This window comes from Homo sapiens, chromosome 5 (assembly GCF_000001405.40).
Source record: "Homo sapiens chromosome 5, GRCh38.p14 Primary Assembly".
Classification (NCBI taxonomy): Eukaryota; Metazoa; Chordata; class Mammalia; order Primates; family Hominidae; genus Homo; species Homo sapiens.
In genome coordinates, this window is record NC_000005.10 from 173,856,680 (window position 1) to 173,875,441 (window position 18,762).

General features: G+C 45.7%; 3 annotated features.

The window, feature by feature from the left end:
- Window positions 3,853-4,320: a transcriptional cis regulatory region, noted in NCBI's record as "candidate enhancer chr5.4561 targeted for multiplex CRISPR interference". NCBI's record gives its function as "positively regulates CPEB4 gene expression with high confidence in K562 cells {active_cell/tissue: K562}" and the evidence as "EXISTENCE:mutant phenotype evidence [ECO:0000015][PMID:30612741]".
- Window positions 5,510-5,785: a transcriptional cis regulatory region, noted in NCBI's record as "candidate enhancer chr5.4562 targeted for multiplex CRISPR interference". NCBI's record gives its function as "positively regulates CPEB4 gene expression with high confidence in K562 cells {active_cell/tissue: K562}" and the evidence as "EXISTENCE:mutant phenotype evidence [ECO:0000015][PMID:30612741]".
- Window positions 18,237-18,395: a silencer, noted in NCBI's record as "fragment chr5:173301919-173302077 (GRCh37/hg19 assembly coordinates)". NCBI's record gives its function as "represses an EF-1alpha promoter that drives an FKBP-Casp9 reporter gene in an ReSE screen in K562 erythroleukemia cells {active_cell/tissue: K562}" and the evidence as "EXISTENCE:reporter gene assay evidence [ECO:0000049][PMID:32094911]".

The window sequence follows — 18,762 nt, forward strand, 5'->3', positions numbered from 1 at the left end:
ACCTAATCTGCTGCGGGATTGGGGGTGGGGGGCAGTAGTTATGATGGTGATGGCACCATGGATCCCAAGAATTCCTCAGAAATTAGAAATTTAGGCTCAGACAGGGAAAGTGATCTGGTCATAGGCAGTAGTTGGAAGACACGGGAAGAGAACCCAGCTTTCCTCTCTCTCCCGGTTCCAGGATCTTTCCAGTAACCTGTTACTTCTTTTTAGATAGAGACATAGTAAACTGAAAGTTGTCGTTACTTCCAAGGTGAACTAGAGCATCTCCCTATGTTGCCCAGGCTCATCTCGAACTCCTGGGCTCAGTCCATCCTCCCGCCTCTGCTTCCCAAAGTGTTGGGATTACAGGCATGAGCCACCACGTCCAGCCCGTATGATTTCTCCAATCCCTTCATGTGAGTCAAACCTGTCAGCTGTTTCAATTCTGTGAGCCTCAATTTACCAATCTGCAGATTGAGGCACTCAGCCATTTTCCTCAGAGGGTGTGTGTGTGTGTGTGTGTTTCTTAGAAGATCATGCAAGGGCTGATATAAAGGCCATAAAAACACTAAAGCAGCCTTTCCTCTAAGTCCAGGTTCAAGGGCCCATCTAAGTCCAGCATTTTAAAATTTGACCCCTTACAAACACACAGCTTCATCCTTAACAAGATGCTTAGCCTGAGCATCTATCGTCTGCCGGCTTCCTCCTCTAGCCCATCTATCCCCATCCCCTGGACATCTGGTGCCTGTGGCTGATCCATTAGCTGCCTTGCCTGCCCCCAGAGCAGAGCGATCCAGGCCACCATGAAATATTTAAGCAGCCCTGACAGCAGATAACTTACTCTGACTGGATTCTGCTTTGGCTGTGGTTTGGGTTACAGATGAGAAGGCTGACCAGTTAAGGCAGAGAAGTTAAAGGCCTGGTGCAGGGCTGCCCTTAAAATGGGGAAGGGACACTGGAAAATACATTGCAGCTAAGGATGACACTATTTTTTTTTTTTTTTTTTTTTTGAGACGGAGTCTTGCTCTGTCCCCAGGCTGGAGGGCAATGGCGCGATCTCGGCTCACTGCAACCACTGCCTCCCTGGTTCAAGCAATTCTCCTGCCTCAGCCTCCTGAGTAGCTGGGACTACAGGTGTGCACCACCACACCCAGCTAATTTTTTAATTTTTAGTAGAGATGGGGTTTCACCATGTTGGCCAGGACTAAGGATGTCACTTTTTAAACAAACGCAAACTTCGCAAGCTCAGACTTGCTACAGGATTGTAAGTCAGTAGCCAAGACCTGAGAATCCATTTCTGACAGTAGAGAATTTCAGCCTTTAGAGGCATCAAGACCTGAGTTCAAGTCAGCCTGGCTGCTTTCTAGCTGTCGTCCTCTTGTGAGTAACTAAATTGTGCTGAGACTCAGTTTCTCTATCTGTAAGTTGAAGAAAACCAGCCCTTCTCCAGATTGCCATGAGACTTAAATGCAATAAGATGTTTGGAGGTAGCTGACAGGTGTTTACTTTATGTGAGTTCCCTCCTTCCGCTTAATCAGGAGTTTCTTATCTGGGTCAGCCTTAGGAATGAGAGATAACTAGGTGTCATCTGGATGGATATAGGATGACAGTTTAAGGGTCACCTACACTGGAACCGAATTCACTTCATCTGGGCTGTTAGAACACATTCCAGACTCCTAGAATTTCTTTACTACTGACTTCATTCCAAAAAAGGATCTGAGGCTACAGAGTGCACGTATATATATTACTGTTAATAAAACAGGAGTAGGAATAATAGCAGCTAATGTTTATAGGGTTTGCTGTACAGCAGGTGCTGTGTTAAGTGCCCTACCTCACATTATTTTTTCTTAAATACAGCACCCTGACAAGCAGGCAGAAGCGTATCTGCTAAGCATTGATGGCCCTTTCTGGCTCTAATGCCAGAGCAACCCTGACTTCTAGGTCACGGTTGTAAAATAAATTGTTGCAATGGGATCCAAAAAAGGGGGAAGTTTATACTAGAGAGCTTTACAGTCACAATAACAGAAATAATTTTTCCTGTAGGAGTCCCAACAGTAAAGGTGTTTTTATAGCTGGGAGTTCATAACCATAAAACCTAAAGTCACCAGCTCCTACAGTGTAGAATCACGTGGCATCTTCCTTATCACCACCAGCTCTGACATTGGTGCAAAACATCTTACGCATTTTCTAATCTTTTTTATCATCTTTTCCAGCCAATGTTATGATAAAGTCTTGCAATCAAAGCAAATGTTACCACTGCAAAGCCATTTGACCTATTGTCCTTGTGGCTTTCTCAGCAGAGGGGCCCTGTAAGGCCAATTGTATACCATAAATAATCCATCAGGTTATCCAGTTGGCATAATGGGCCCTCCCACTGCAGAAGAAAAGCTTGTGGTTGAGTGTCCAAGGTCTCTCTGAGCTCCTTGGCAGCCCCTTCCCAAAGGGAAATACAGTGAAATTTAGAGGGAGCCCTCCTTCCCCGAAAGGAGGAAGCAAACACTCTGGGTGCTGTTGCTTTGGCTTGGTTCCTTTGGAGTGAGGTGCTGTCTAACCAGGCTCTTGGCTGGATGTTTGCTTTTCAGCCTCTTTGGCTGTGACTTCTGTGGGGTGAATATAGGATCTGTCTGCCCCACTCAGTGCAAGAAGCTGGTGGGATTTGGCAGACCCCCAAATGTGCCAGATTCCATCTACATGCATGGATTCCACACTCTTCACCTCATGGAATCTTGACAGCTCTTCTGCGAGGGAGGCAGTACGATCCTCATTTGACAGATGAGGAATAAAGGAGGCTCAGAGAGATAAGTTTAGCTGCCCAAGCTCACACAGCAGGGAAGTGGCAGAGTCTGACTAGACCCAAGATCTCCTGACTCCAGCTGCAATCTTCAGAGAGTTACGATGATGACATACTTCATTGCACACAGGGAACAGGTAACAGAGCTGGGGAACCAAGCCCAGCACTCACCCCAGTCCACCACACAACCTCCCTGCTTGCATTTGCCCAATGAATAAATATTTGCTGCCCACCTGCCAGACACCAGGGTCTACTGGATGTCCTGAGGATGTAGCTATGAGCAAGTCAGGCAGGATCTGTGTGTCCCCAAGGGGCTCACCTTCTAGTGCAAGAGACAGATGATAAATAAGAAAGCTGGTAGGTTGACAAGGGTATTGTTGTTGGGATTATCTCATGGTGGAAATATTCAAGGGCTGGGGCAGGGGAAAAGGGTGGGGTATGTGGTCACTGCTTTAGACAGGAGGATCAGGAAAAGCTTCTACGAGGAGGTGACATTATCTGAGAACTTCAAGATGTGTAGGAGCCAGTCATGGCAGGGAGAACAAGAAGGGTAAGGGCCCAGAGGTGAGATGTAGCTTACCCGGGACAGGGAATAACACAGGGCAATATGGCCAGAAGGTCACAAATGAAGACCAGAAGGGCTCAGGATGAAGTTGGACAGAGGTTGGCAACAGATCTTGAGGATCACATAAAGGGGTTGAATATATTTCCCTAAGGGCAACACAGAGGCATTGAAGGGTTTAGGCATGGAGGTGACATGACCGGATTTGCATTTTAGAAAGATTTCTCTCTCTCTCTCTCTCTCTCTCTCTCTCTCTCTCTCTCTCTGTGTGTGTGTGTGTGTGTGTGTGTGTGTGTGTGTGTGTTTTAGAAAGAGGGGAGTGGGGAAAGGTTGCAGGGTGGGGACCTGGGAAGCCAGTGGAGTGCTGTAGAAGCCCAGACATAGCTGAATGAGGGCAGTGGCAATGAGAAAGGAAGAATGGGGCAAATTTGGGACATGTTTAAAAGCAAAATAATGCAGAGTTGTCGACAGCTTAAAAGTGAGCAGCGAGGGAGGGGAGGTGTTCAGAATGACTTCCAGGCTCCTGGCTTGAGCAAACTGGGTGAAGAATAAGGCTAGTCTAAGGACTGTTGGAGCAGGACAGTGCAGGAGGGCCTGGGTGAAGATTAAGAACGCTGCCCCAGGCTTGAGTCTTGAGTCCCACCCTCCAACAGAAGCCGTGCCACCAGCAACAAGATCCCTTCCCCCACAGAGCAGGCAGGACCAGCACCAAGATAACAATTCCCTCTGCCCAGAGCCTTCCGGGGACGCCAGCCAGCCAGGCCCTGCTGCAGCCAGGGCACTGCATGCTCTAGATTGGGTTCCTGGAAAAACTGTTCAATTATTGATAAGGAGCTCCCCTGACATCACTGAAAGACAACAACCCTCTCTCCTCGCTGCCCTACAGATCTGGGTTCCCCGGCTTGGCAGCTGGAATATGATGGGGGTGGGGGCCAATGCAACCCTTGAAACGCAGCCACAAGAAAGCACTCAGCATACAAAAATAATAACAATGCTGTAATAACTTACATTTTCTGAACACTTGCTATGTGCCAGGCAGGGTTCCAAGAAAGCTTGGAACCCTGGAACCTTGGAACTCTTCTTAAGAACTCTAAGATGGAGTTCCTATAATTATTCCCACGTTATAGGTGGAAAAACTGAGGCAAAGGGAGGTTAGGTAAATTGCCTCCTTAGGTCACCCAGCTTGGAAATGGTGAAGCAGTCTCGCTCCAGAGTCTGTGGTGTCCCCCACTTCTCTGGAACTGCTTCCAGGTGATAACACAGGTGGGGAGGGGAAGCTGGTAGCAGAGAGGCCTATTTTACCTTTCTGCATTTGAAATAAATAAGTTAGATATTAGAATGATGTGGGCAACATTGAACTAAGCCCCTATTCAGCGCAAATATTCACCACTTTACTAACCCTCTATGCAGTGAGAAATCTGCTCATACCATGTTACAGATTTCGAGAAAACTAAGGTTAAGAGAGATGAGAGGTTTCACCAAGTACTGGGCAGCTTGGAAATAACTAACCTGAAATCTGAACCTTGGTCATTTAACACCAAGGGCAGTGAGTTCTCTGACTTCACTGCACATATAAGTATATGCATATACCGTGTATATAAATTATGCACATTCCCTGAAAAGGATATTGATGTTTCCACACAGAGCACACATGCTACACGGTCCAACCTCATGTTGTGATGGCCATCTGAGTATTTCCATCCTCACAGAAAGCCCAGTGAAAGATCCACTCTGTAGCTAACACTCCAGCTGCTGCCACCTTGCTTGTTTTCTGATCTTGGGTAGGTGCTCTTCTTTTTGTGACCTTAGAAGAGAAGAAGTTACACCCTAAACCCATTTCTCTAATCCTCCACCAATTTACTGCTTTGAAATATTCAATTACTTCCTTTTATTTTCTTGTCTTTGAAATTTGTTCAATAGTTTGCCTTCTTCTCTTTCTTGCTGCCTTCCTTTTTCAGTCAACGAGCTTTTGCTGAGCACCTACTTAGCAGTACGATGTTGCAGGAAGACCATCACAGCGGAGCAAAATAGGCCTGTGATCAGATACCAGCTCTGGGGCCTTAGGCAAGTTCTTTCACTCCTCCCAGCCTCAGCATCCTCGTCTGTAAAATGGGCAAATCCTACAATCTACTCCTCATGGGTTGCCACAAATAGAAAACATAGCCACAGTTGTGCAAGTATCTGACATGGAGCTTGACGCAAAATTGGTTCTCGGTAAATGTTTGATGAACGTTGAGACTTCAGGTGGGAAGGAAGAGGAGAAGAGTCAGACACAGGCCCTGCCCTTGAATAGGTTCCTGCCTACAAAGGGAGATAGGCAGAAATAAGTGAGGCAGCCTGTGATAAGGCCATACAAAGGGGCAGATAAAGAGTCCTGAGGACTAACAGGAAGGAGAAATGCTTCTCATGAAAGTACCTTAGGTTCTGCAGAACAGCCTAGAAACACATTCCTGTGTCTCTCCCTCTCTCTGAGGGGTCAGGAGGATGTTTTTCTAGGCCAGATCTGAATCTGCCCTGAATCCTCAGCAAAATAGGGCAGAAGGTGATGGGAAAGAATGGAGATGACACTATCTGTGATTGAGGCCAATGGCTTAGAAGCAGTAGAAAGCACCCCTTGGCTAGTCCCATCTGTGGGCAACAGCCAGACATTCGGGTCTGCCCTGCGTCCTGGCTTTGCCACCTCCAAGCTATGTGACTTTTGGAAAAATGTCCCCCAGTGTCCTGAAGCCTCAGACCCATCACCTATAAAATACAACTAAGGCCAGGTGCAGTGGCTCACGCCTGTAATCCCAGCCTTTTGGGGGGCTGAAGCGGGTGGATCACCTGAGGTCAGAGTTCCAGACCAGCATGGCCAACATGGTGAAACCCCGTCTCTACTAAAATACAAAACTCAGCTGGGTGTGGTGGTAGGTGCCTGTAACCCCAGCTACTCAGGAGGCTGAGGCACAAGAATTGCTTGAACCCAGGAAGCAGAGGTTGCAGTGAGCTGGGATTGCACCACTGTACTCCAGTCTGGGTGACAGAGTGAGACTGTCTCAAAAAAAAAAAAAGAAAAAATACAACTAACAATAGCTTCTATCTTCAGAGCTGTTATGAGGATGGATAGCACTGTATGCAAGCTCAGGGCATATGGAATCTATATAATAAGGATCAACTTTTACTTCTTGTTCTCTTTTTGCTAAGTGGGGTATGTTTGGGGCTCTTCTATGGCAGGTACATTTTATTGGCCAATTAGAATTTTGGCAGCTCCATTTTAGAACAACGAAAGGGTAGGCCCTTGACAATTTTATGTTTTTACTGTTCAACAGAGGAAACTGTATGAAATATGTGTGTTGAATTAATAGGAACAAGCAGGATCCAGACCCCTGCATCCAATTTAGACGTGAGTTCAGCACAGCATCCATCTGACCCCATCTCATATTGAACAATGGGTTTAACGTAGACTTGAAGGGGAGAATATCCATGAGTGCTTGGCAGCAACCATCAAAGTGGGATGATCCCTGTGAGCAGGCCAGCACCATCAATTGATAGGTTCAGAGATTCACAAAGCATACACACACATGCAGAGGCTCTGCTGGGCTCATTCATGCAGCCAGTTCATGCATATGGATAAAGTAACTGTTCAGTGGCCAATCAAGGGACAGCTCCTGAGCAGGAAAGGAAAGAGCATTATACCAGGGAAGCAGAACTCTATTTCAAATTCACGTCTGCCACTTTCATCTCTCTGAGCCTCAGTTTCCTTATTTGTAAAAATGAGTAAAATATAACCAGGGTTGTCAGGAATACTAAATGAGCAAGTTGATATGAAAATGGCGTGATACAGTGCTTGGAATGTAGTGGGGGCTTAATAAATGCTGGCTAAATTGGAATCTGCTAAGGACTACAGAGACATAAAGATTTAACAAATATTTATTGGTATTCTACAATATGTCAGCCTTGTGTCAGGTTCTGGGCACGTGGAGATGAGTAAAACATACCGTTGTGGGGAGTCTACATTTTAGATCTGTGCTTTCATTTTATTTGTGTATGTGGAACAGGCATACACAAACATCAGGGAAGACGCCACAGAAGAAATGAAGCAGGGTTTGAAGGACATGAAGGAATTTGCAATCAGAGTCACTCCTGATCTTGGAAAGTTCCCTTTGGCTATCTGTTGCATTTAAGAGTATAGCCATAGAGAAAGCCTAGGTTGAATACTAAATTCAGTTTGAACAGGTAAAGGGCCCACATCCCTAATATAGAGGGTTAGAGGTCATGTCAGCCTTCCAGCTCAGCCAGCCCAAACCTAGTCTTAGCCCTGCCACTCCTCTCCGCAATCCCGGAAACAGGTCACTATCACTGGGATCCCAAACTTGACTTTTCCTTTAAATCTCCAGTCCTGGGGGACAACAGCCTCTCTAGGGTTCCAGTTGAGAACCGGGGTTTCAGAAATCTTCCCTTTGCCTCTCTAGACCCACAGTCTAGCCTGTTGCACCCTGCTCTGTGATTCTGGGAGCTGATTTCAGTGACCGGAATCAACGATGCCTGTTTGCTCTCTGGTTCCTGGTTGGGCTCAAACAGCAGGGGCGGGGCAGGAGACGGAAAGTGAGGTTGGAGTATTCATTCCCCTGCCTCCACTTGCTGGGCCACTATGGGTTGGCTGAGTCCCTCCACCAAAGGCCACAGGTCCTGCACACCAGGCTTTCTGTCTCAGGGTCCAGGTCAGCACTCTGTCTCCTGTCCCCTCAGACCTAGGAGAGGTGACAGCACTCAGCTTTTACCAGCCCCAGAAAACTGCACCGTATCTTGTGGGTTCCCCATACCTTTGTAAATAGCTCCTTTATTAAACGTTCCTCAAATTGCCTAATTTGAGCATGCCATCTGTTTCCTCCCAGCCCCTGACTGACACCTCCAGGTTCTCAGCCTGGAGACTGCTTTGCACTGTGCATATATTTTTCTGGACCAGTGGAAAATAAGGCTGGAAATTTGGCCGTGACAAGGTTGTCCTTCCAAATCTTTGCACATCCTGTTTGCTGTTCAATTTGGGCCTGCTATAAGAGTCACTTTTCCTCCCAGTCCTTAGGAAAAGTGATTTTTTCTGGCATAATCTGAAATCAGGAAGCTCAGAGATGTGTGTGGACAGAATTCACATTAACTAAAGGGACCCATTCATCTACCACACACCATGATCTCAGGATTAATTTGAATTACACAATGCCAGTCTTCTAGGAGAGCGTCTGGCACCGAGTAGGTGCTCTTAACTTCATTAGATCATATCATTGGCTTGACTTTACTCCCTAATGATTCCCATGGATATTGTCCCAAACATCCACTCTGCTCTGTAGCCTTGTCATTTATATACCTGCAATGTATAGAAATGTTATTCACACTTTTGGAACTCCTACTAGGCGCCAGGCGCTTCAGGCAGTAAGGTAGAGGGTGGCAACTGGTACAGTGAATAGGCATGCTTGCCCTACCCACTTCTTCCTGTATTCACTTACTAGCTTGTAGCCTGAACCAGTTACTTAGCACCCTCGTTAATGTCTTCGTTTCCCTATGGGTAAAATACACATAATAATATTACCTACATCTTAGAGCTGCTGGGAGGATTAAGTGAATAAGATGTGTAAAGTGCTTCTATACATGTATTATGATTATACCCATTATTTCATTTAATTCTCATAACCCTAGAGGTATGTGTGATTGTCACAAATTTGCAGGTCTGTCTTACTACAAAGCCTGGTTTCAGCATGCTCCCATTATGGCCAGAAGCAGCTGACATTACCAAAGCCCATCACAGTGCCCATGAAACAGGAAGCAGGCGAGGACCCTGTCTATCCGGCCCCTCCACAATCCCAGCTAGTGGGAGATTATGTTGGGGGACAGAATTCAAGGAGAGCTGCAACAAATATATTAACAATGGCTGCTGTGTGTTGGGTGGGTACTCTGTGCCAGGAACCATGATAAGCACTTTATGTATCTTATCCCGATTTCAACTCACAATGATGCATAGAGGAAACCATTATTAACTTCACTTTACGTGAGAAACTGGGGCACCTAGGTTTAAGTAACATGGCTAGGGTCATACATATAGAAAGCGGCCCTAGCAGGATTGAATCTTGGTCTCTCCATTCAGAATTTCATGCTCTTAACCACCAAGAAAAGACAGAGTAGCATGCTGCTCAATTGACAAAACAGGAATCCCACAGAAACCTGTCTAGGGATTCTGCACCGTGAACCCCATTCTAACATAAACCAGGTTTGCATCCTTGCTGCAGCAGTGAGGAGTGTAGCTCGGTGCTGAGGCTGGCAAATGCAGCATCTGATGCAATCTATTGCATTACTGAATGTGCAGTGCTCATGTTTTAAAAAAAGAAGAAAAAAGGAACGAAAAAAAAAAAAAAAACGCTGTAGAAATGGTTGGAAGGCGGGGAGGCCCAGAACCCGGCCAATTGAAAAGCAGCAGCTGGCTTTACCAACGTCGATCGCAGTGCCCATCAAACAGGAAGCAGGCGAGGACCCTGGCTGTCCAGGTCCTCGCCAATCCCAGCCAGCCAGACAAGGAAGGCTGAGGGCACTCTGACAAGGCCCTTTCAGCCAGCTCCCGCAGCCAGGCCCAGCTGTACAAAGCAGTGTCACTGCCTCAGAGGAGACCATCTGGGGGACAATAGTTCCGGGATAGTCTGTCCTCTCTCTGTGTGCTCTGTCACCCCCAGGCTCCGCCTCAGCTGCTGCCCGCACCAGGCCAGGGGGAGACTTCCCCATTTCCTCCTTTAAAAGGCTCATCAGGAAGGAAAGAAGAGCAAAAAGCAACGGGTAAAATAAGGTTTAGCTTCATCCAACACAAAAGGGGGTGAGATAAAGGACAATTGTGTGTCAAACCCAGTATGAAACATACTGGGGCAAGGCTAATGAGTGGGGGCCCACCCGAGAGAGAACGTCAGTAGGATCTAGCAGCTGGTCGCCACCACTGTTCAGGGGCTGAAGGCTTGCTAGAACCAATTGGACTGTGCGTGAAGTCTTCTGGCTCGGACCGACGGTTTCAGGGACAAGCGGCCCAGGACTCCGATCCCAGCTCAGTCGCAGGTACCGGCATACAGCCACTTCCGCGGTACCCTGTGGCCCCACCCCTGGGCACAGATGATTGAGCCAGGAGAAGAGGTCAGCTGACCAAGAAAGACCAATCAGAACCCCACTCTTCCAGTGGGAACACCCACCTCTCAACACCTCGAGGGCAGGATTTTTTGTTTTGGTGTTTGTTCCTCCCCGCCCTTTTTATCTATTTTGTGCACTGCTATATCTTAAATGCCTAAAATAAAACCCATAACCTAGCAGTTGCTCAGTATGTATTTAACTGAATCATGCTCTATACTTCAAGTCAGGATTCAGCCAACTGGTCTCCCTCGAACTAGAACTGAAGTTCCCTTAACTGGGAAACTGGGGCAGTCCTGCTCTGCAAAATGGACTTCAGGGTGTGCAATGGGAAAAGAAGGAGGAGAATGAGCAAGAAGAATGGAGGCAGAGAGAGTGGTGACAGGCTTCCCGAATACATCCCAGTATCCTTATGATAATGTTCTTCTTTTTCCTTAAGCTAGCTGGAGTGGGTCTTCATATTTAAAACCAAGTCATTCTAGCCCAAACAGCATGTCTCCCTGAAATCCTTTCCCAAAAGGATTGGTGAAAAGTCCCATGAACTCCTGAAATATTTTTAGCTTAGTGCACTTGGAGGCATGAGGCACAACTTTAGTCCTTCCCCAAATACCTTGTCTGATCTGCCAACTGAGACACCGCAGAGGGAAAGTGATAGGGTGGCCAGTTCTGGGGCCTCACTGCCTGACCCCAATCCTGGCTCCTGCCCACCCTCCCTGAAACCCAACTCAGGTTATCTAACCCTTCTGAATTTCTTCCTTTGCAAAATGAAATTATAATAGCATCCATCTCCATGGCTTATTTTGAAAACATAAAGTGCTTTGTACAGTGTTTAGCACATGGTTAGTGCTAGATAAGTAATAATGTATCCAATACATTGAATAAGCAGGACTCATTAAAGCAACTTTATTTTTGTCTCCCATTTCTCTTTAGAACTCTTCATTGTGTTCAGTCCATTCTTTGCCCCAGAATGAGAATATGGACAGATCCTTGAGTTTTCTAATCATTGTTAAGTAATAAAACATCCTGTGGTTGCTTTAAATCAGGGACGTTGCTTCAATTCATTATTTACATTTTCTTCCCTCTTTCCCCTAAGGCCTGCTGCCAACAGAAACCTGTGGGTCTGGCTTTTCTGCTCCTCCACTAGCTTGCTAACCTATTTTCTGGTGCTTCCAAGAATCACGTGGGGATAGAGAAGGGAGGTAAAGGGGATAAGGAAGTTCTTAATTGGACGGTACTGTCAAAGACTGGCTTTGTCCTCTCTGAGTCTGATAGATGTTTTAAGTTGACAGTTTCCCTCCTGAATGCTCTATAGGTTATTTGGGGACAGCCCTGCTGCCCCACCAATGATTATAACTGCCTCGATGCAGGTGAGCTTTTTGTTTGCCCAGTAACTCGCCATTCCCCTTCTTGGCCTCTCCAGGTACTTTCTTCTGGACAGAATCCCTTTCACAATGACCCCAGGCTGACATTCCTACTAGGAATGTAATACCCCCTTCCCCTGCCCTCCGCCTCATCTATCGTTGCCCAACCATTGTAGGCCATGTCCCTACTTCCTCTCCTCTGCTACCACCAACTACAGCTTCCTTAAGCATGAGTCAGACCCCAGCCCACCACAATCCCCCAGTTGCAAGGCACACAAAACAAGCTCTCTGGGAGTCACTAGGAACTAGGGCTAAGGCTGAAGGCACAGACTCCTTTTCCAAAGAAGTCTTCACAAAATCTTTCCTAAATTTCCAAAACCCAACCCTTTTCTGTCTTCCAAAGGGGTGGCAAGCTTTGATAAATGTGCAACTGGTTTTTGCATTTTACTTTTGTAAATCCTGCACTCTTGGGCTGGCCTCAGCCCACCTGTGGCTTGTAGCAGCTGTCATACCTTAGTTCCTCAGGTAAAACTTCAATTTTAACCTCCCGTTGCATTAATAATAAATCAACATGTGCACGTGACCTTTCAGAGCCCAAAATGTGATCATATGCATTATCTTACCTATTCTGCACTGCAGCTCTATTGAGGTGGCAATTCTGCTCTCTCCATTTTTCAGATGAGGAAACTGAGGCATAGAGAGGTCAAGAAGCTTGTACAAGATCACACATCTGGGAAATGAAAGTCAGATTTGCACCCATGTCTACCTGACTCCTTTTCACTGCCAGAGATATCCTCCCAAGGGGAAAGACATATAAGGGCACTGTGCCCTTGATCTGTAAGCCTGGCACTTGAGACTTCCATGGCCCCCAGGCATTCCTGATTCAGGGGATGTCCCAGAAGCCACCCTGGAAAGGCAGTGGCCTCCTCAATACAGAGCTAAAATACAAACGTGAGACTTCCTTGAAGCGGATCGAGGCAGCCAGCCCTGTGACTGGCAGCTGAGTTCAGAGAACCAGCCAAAGCAAAGCCGTGTTTCCTTTGCACATAAAGCATCCATTCTCAGCCATGCACACTGGCACAGACACTCACAGACCAGAGCCTCAAAGGGCTGGACAAAGAAACAGACACAGGCAAGAGCAAAAGTTTTTTTTTTCTTTTCTAAATGCAAAGCCCAGATAATACTCAACATGTATATACAATTTTCATATGAGCTGAATTTTTTATAGAAAAGGCAGAGACTTCTTGTGCCAAAGTTTTGGGGGCAGATGGCTGGGGGGTTGTTTATAAAGACAGATTTATAGCCTGTGGCCCCTTCTTCATGGGCTGAAAATACCCCGGCTCTGTTTCCCCCATGTTTCTCATTTTCCACCCATCTTCTCCTTTTCCCCTTTTCGTTTTTGATACCTTTCAGTGGCCAGCCCTGGCCAGCTACCCTTCAGTAGCTACAGAGATGAGCTATTCAAACCTTCCTCCAGAGCCCTACAGTCAGGTAGGGGAGACAGACAAGAAAAGCCAATAATGAAAATACAGAATAAGGCCAGGTGTGGTGGCTCACGCCTGTAATCCCAGCACTCTAGGAGGCCGAGGCGAGTGGCTCACCTGAGTTATCAGGAGTTCGAGACCAGCCTGACCAACATAGTGAAATCCTGTCTCTACTAAAAATATAAAAATTAGCCAGGCATGGTGGCGGACACCTGTAATCCCAGCTACTTGGGAGGCTGAAGTGGGAGAATCACTTGAACCCGGGAGGCAGAAGTTGCAGTGAGTGGAAATCACATTGCACTCCAGCCCGGGTGACAGAGCAAGACTCTGTCTCAAAAAAAAAAAAAAAAAAAAAAAGACAAGACAAGACACTAATAGAGCAAAGGAAATATACATAGAGTGGGGAGGGGGCAGGTGGGATCAGAGGGGATTTTCACGATATGTTACCACTGGTACTGACTGACCAGATAGAATGATTCCATGACCCATTGGAATGGACTCCAGCCTTTACATGGGATTTGGTGACTATCAGCTCATGGTAGAATAAGAGAAAGCTTCATGGAGGAGGTGAAGACTGAGCTGAGGTGTAAAGGGCATGTTTGTGAGGCAGGCATATTTGAGATGTGGCAGTTTCGGGCCAAGGGAACAGTAAAGGCAGAGAGGCAGGAGAGAAAGTCCATTAGGGGAACTATCAGGACCTCTCCATCGCTGATCCCTCGGAGGCCCAGAGTGGTCAGTAGGTATCTGTTGAATTAATAAAAGAATAATGAGTCAATGAATGAAGTGGAAAATGTGTGGTAGGGGGGCATAGAGGGTGAGGCTGAAGAGCAGCAGGGAGGCAATAAGATAGCTACCATTTATTGCAGTCTGAGATGTGCCAGAACTTTACGCAGATTATATTATTCTATCCTTCCCATCAGGGCTAGCTAAATTGTCTATATTGTATGAGTGAGGAACCTAGAGCAGTCCCAGGCACAGAGAGCGTGTTAGACAGGTATTAGTATTACCCCAGAGTTACAGATATGCATGTTGAAACTCAGAGAAATAAGGTAACAGTTTGTACAGCCAGGCCTTTCTGACCCCAAATCTCATTCTCTTATCTCAAATCCTAGAGGAGAGTACGGCCATTTAACTTACGTGAATTTTGCTATACACATTTGCGGGGGTGGTGGGAAAGGAAATTTTAAGAACATGGGCCATTCTTCTCATCATGATCTATGCCATGGAGTAAACGTGGGGCAGAGCCTGAATCTAAAAAGGTTGCCTTCACTCCTCTCAGTTCCTTTGGGCCTCTCATGGCCAATATGTCTAGGTGTCCACATGATTTCCATACAACAAAGTTCCTAAATGCAAGCCCCCTACTTTACTTGGGCTCAATCAAAGAAACAGTGATGTATCTGGTCCAACCATGGACATTAAACAATCACTCTTCCTGTATCATGCACATTGATAGACAAGTTAGGAAATTGTTGAAGATGATTTTTACAATATCAATGCAGTCCGTGTTGTCTTTGGAATGTACTGGCCCCAGGAAGGTGCAATTATGCCCAGGGCAGCCTCCAGGTTAGGAATGGCCAGCTGGTCTGTGGGTTAAAGACCCTTGCCTTGGCAGCCATCTTTGTGCCCCTTTGTGCTTGGAATGCCAAGTATCTTCTGATTTTCAGTGGCCAAAGCAACCAGATATTATCTGAAAGCCAATAGTGGTTTTCTCAGCTATGGGAACATGATGAAGACCAAAAAGACCACACTCTGGTGTTGTGGATGCCATCCCTTGGCTTTCCACCACCCTGGTCTTTCTGTGGTTAATTTTTGGCTCCCAGAAATGAAGGCTCCATAACAGAGCTGGAAAGCTCTCTCCAGGGCACGAAGGAGCTACCGAGCTGAGACCTCTCTTTTGACATCTGAACATCAGAACCTAATCAAGGATGAGGACCATTACTTGGACCCGTTTTTCTAAGGTGACTCAGCCTGACAAGGCCCTAAATAACATCCAAATATTATCCCACACTGGGAGAAAGAAAGAAAAATAAAATCAGGCTACTTCATCATTTGTCTCTCATGAATGCATCTTATGAATATTTTCCTTTAAAAGACTAATCTGCTGAGAACTTGGAAGAACGTATTTGTGTGCATTCATTAAGTCTCCAACTTAGAGGCACATTCTGGGACTAATTATTTTTTAACTAACTAATCAGCATGTTTCATTCATAAATTGGGATTTATCAGTATAGCACATGAAAGGAGAGAACATATTATTATTTTAATTTGGTTAATATGCAAAAACGTGCTGTGTTTGTAATGACCTGCTTTCACTGAATAGACACAGCCTGGAAATAGTAGCAGCTTCCTCTAATGAGGGTTCTGGCTCCTGGCCCCAGCTGCTCGGCACTAGAAACTCAGTTTGCTCTCTGACCCATCAGCGTTTGTGCTTCTCCGGTGAGGAGGCAGGAGTGATTTCCTCACAAGGAGAAAAACCAAAGGCCTTGTGTTTGCTCTGCTGATGGAACCAGTTACACCCGCTTTGTTAGTGGGAAGAAAAAGCATGGGGGTAGGGGCGGAGAGTGGTGGTTGGAAGGGGTTATCACACACACACACACAGACACACACACACACACACACACACACACACACACACACACACACACGCTCCCAGAGGCCCAACTCCATTAATAAGAGATTCCACCATAATCTAGTGATTCTTGTATCTTACTCTATTGCGCCCATCATCCATGTGCAGCTTGTCTACCATGCAAATAAGTCCTCTGTTCTGAAGTCCCTTGATAAAGGGATTTATTTACCAGCCTAAACTGGTTATCCCATTTGCCCCTGCAAATGTGTGGTTCCTCCTTGCCTCTGAGCTGTCACACACGCTGGTTTAGAGCCACTGAGCCAGGGCCTCAGGTTCATGCAGCCTGTCAGGAGCCTGGGTTGTCTCCCAGACCCCTGCAAACATTCGGCCCAGCTTTGAACCTGAATCCTCTTGCCCCTCTGATTCGGCTCAGCTTTGAACCTTACTCGTCTTGCCCCTCTGATTCGGCCCAGCTTTGAACCTGAATCATCTTGCCCCTCTGGCCAACAGCACTGCTCTGGACTCACCTAGAAGGGCAACGTGGGGCAGGCGTCGCCACTGGCCTTTCTGTGACACGCTGGAGTAGGGTCCAGCTGTATTTTTTCTGTCCAGCCCTGGTGCCAGCCTGCTGAGGTCTCCACCCAGACACATCCTGATGTGGCACATTCTAGAGCCAGGCGCTGCTTTTGTGTTTTAAAGGAGGACGTTTCCTCTTCTGTTTTTTTTTTTTTTTTTCACTGTAGAAGCTCTTTTTACATTCTGAAAGAAATACACATGCTCATTGTAGAAGATTTAGAAAAAGCAGAAAACTATCCATTAAAATTCAATCTATAATCCCACTAGCATGAGACTACCCGCATGCACACTGACATTTGGGGTGTTTGCTTCTGGCCCCTTGTGCCTGTGGCAGAACAGGTCTTCTCCAAGAGGGAGAGTGACCTGGGCTTCCTCTATTTGTGAAGCTCTGAGTGTGAAGCAATACTAAAACAGAATGAAAACCATTGTGCCGTATTTTAAATGTGTATATTCTTGATATATTGTGCACAGATATACTCTTGCCATTTATCATGTGACTCTTACAACAGTGTATCTGTGACTGTGTGTGACAGTGTTTAGAGTATTCCTGTGATTATTGTATAACTGCATTTACAGGTCACGTCCAAAGTCTCAATTAGTGAACATAAGACCTGGTCAAATGGCTCTCCTGGATCCCTTCCCATAACCCCATGGGCATTTGTACTTACATCATATCGGAGATCATACTGCATTCATATTTTTATATTTTGACTTAATACTATTTTGTTAACCTTTTCACAAGTTAATAAAAATTCTTCCACAGCAAGCTTTTAGTGGGTAACCAGCATTCTACTATGTAATCTTACTACCTAAGCTTTCACCCATTATTGAACATTTCAAATGGCCAATTTTTTCCCCATTATAAATAATACTGCATTGAACATCTTTCTGTGAAAATCTTTGCAACTCTCTGGGGTTATTTCCTTTGGATGGAGTCCTAAAAGGAAAACTAATGGGCCACAGGGTAGGAACATCTGAGAGTATCTTGTTTCATGTTGCTTGATTTGTTTCCAAATAGGTGGTATTGATTTATCCTGAAAGTTAGAACATTTTCACTATCTTATTTAGTCTTTAATTGCACAAGTAATTCACAGGAATACACTCTCCTTGTACAAAATTTAAGAAAGTAAGGCCTAAGTCTCTTTTAACCACCCCCTCCAATCCCTGAGGTAGCCACAGTTTTCAGCTTAACAAATGTCCTCTAACAATGCATTTATTTAGTTATCTGTGTTCTTACATAAAATTGCATTACCTATAAAGTATTAAAAACTTGCATACTTCTATAACCGTAGAAAATGTAGTATTTTTGTGTGTGAATTTTTTACATAAATGGTGTCATAATGTATAGGTATTATGTGACTTGTTTATTGCCTTCAGCTGTCTGTCTTGGAGCTCTTCCTTTGTGCATATAAATCTACCTCATGCTGTCTAACTTTCCATATGTTTCCATGGGCTACATATAGGCTACATATTTGGATCCTCCCAATTTTTTCATGTTTACAAATAGTGATGCAATATAAACACTTTTACACAAGCGATTTGAACAAGATTTTTCTCTACTTGAAATCAAATGGTATAATTACTGGGTCATGGGATATGCACACTTTTAATTTTAATAGATGCCAAATTAGGCTGGGCATGGTGGCTCACACTTGTAATCCCAGCACTTTGGGAGGCTGAGGCGGGCAGATCACTTCAGGTCAGGAGTTCGAGACCAGCCTGGCCAACATGGTAAAACCCCGTCTCTTCTAAAAATACAAAAATTAGCCAGGTATGGTGGTGTGTGCCTGTAATCCCAGCTGCTCAGGAGGCTGAGGCAGGAGGATTGCTTGAACCCAGGAGGGGGAGATTGCAGTGAGCCGAGATCACGCCACTGCACTCCAGCCTGGGCAACATAGCGAAATTCCATCTCAAAAAAAAAAAAAAAAAAAAAAAAGAATCCAAGTTGTAGAGGACATTTTAAATTACTTTTATTAGGAATATTCTAGAATGTTGTGGATTTGGGCTTAATTATCAAGGATGTAATTCTAAAGTGTTCTATTATGTAGGATGTCACCCAAAGGTCTTTTCATGTCTTCATTCATTCCCTCCATCTCCATCTGCTCTGGGCCCAGGGTGGCCCACTCACCTGCAGTACACAGTCAATGAATGCAGGTTAGGCACTTTCCCCTTCACCCAGCCCCACCCTTTCAGAGCCCCAACCTGACACCTGGTTCCCTTCAGCACCTGCCAAGACCCTGCTCATCTTTCCAGATAGAGCTCACATGTCCCCTCTTCTTGGAAGCCCTCCCTAGAGTGCAGGCTGT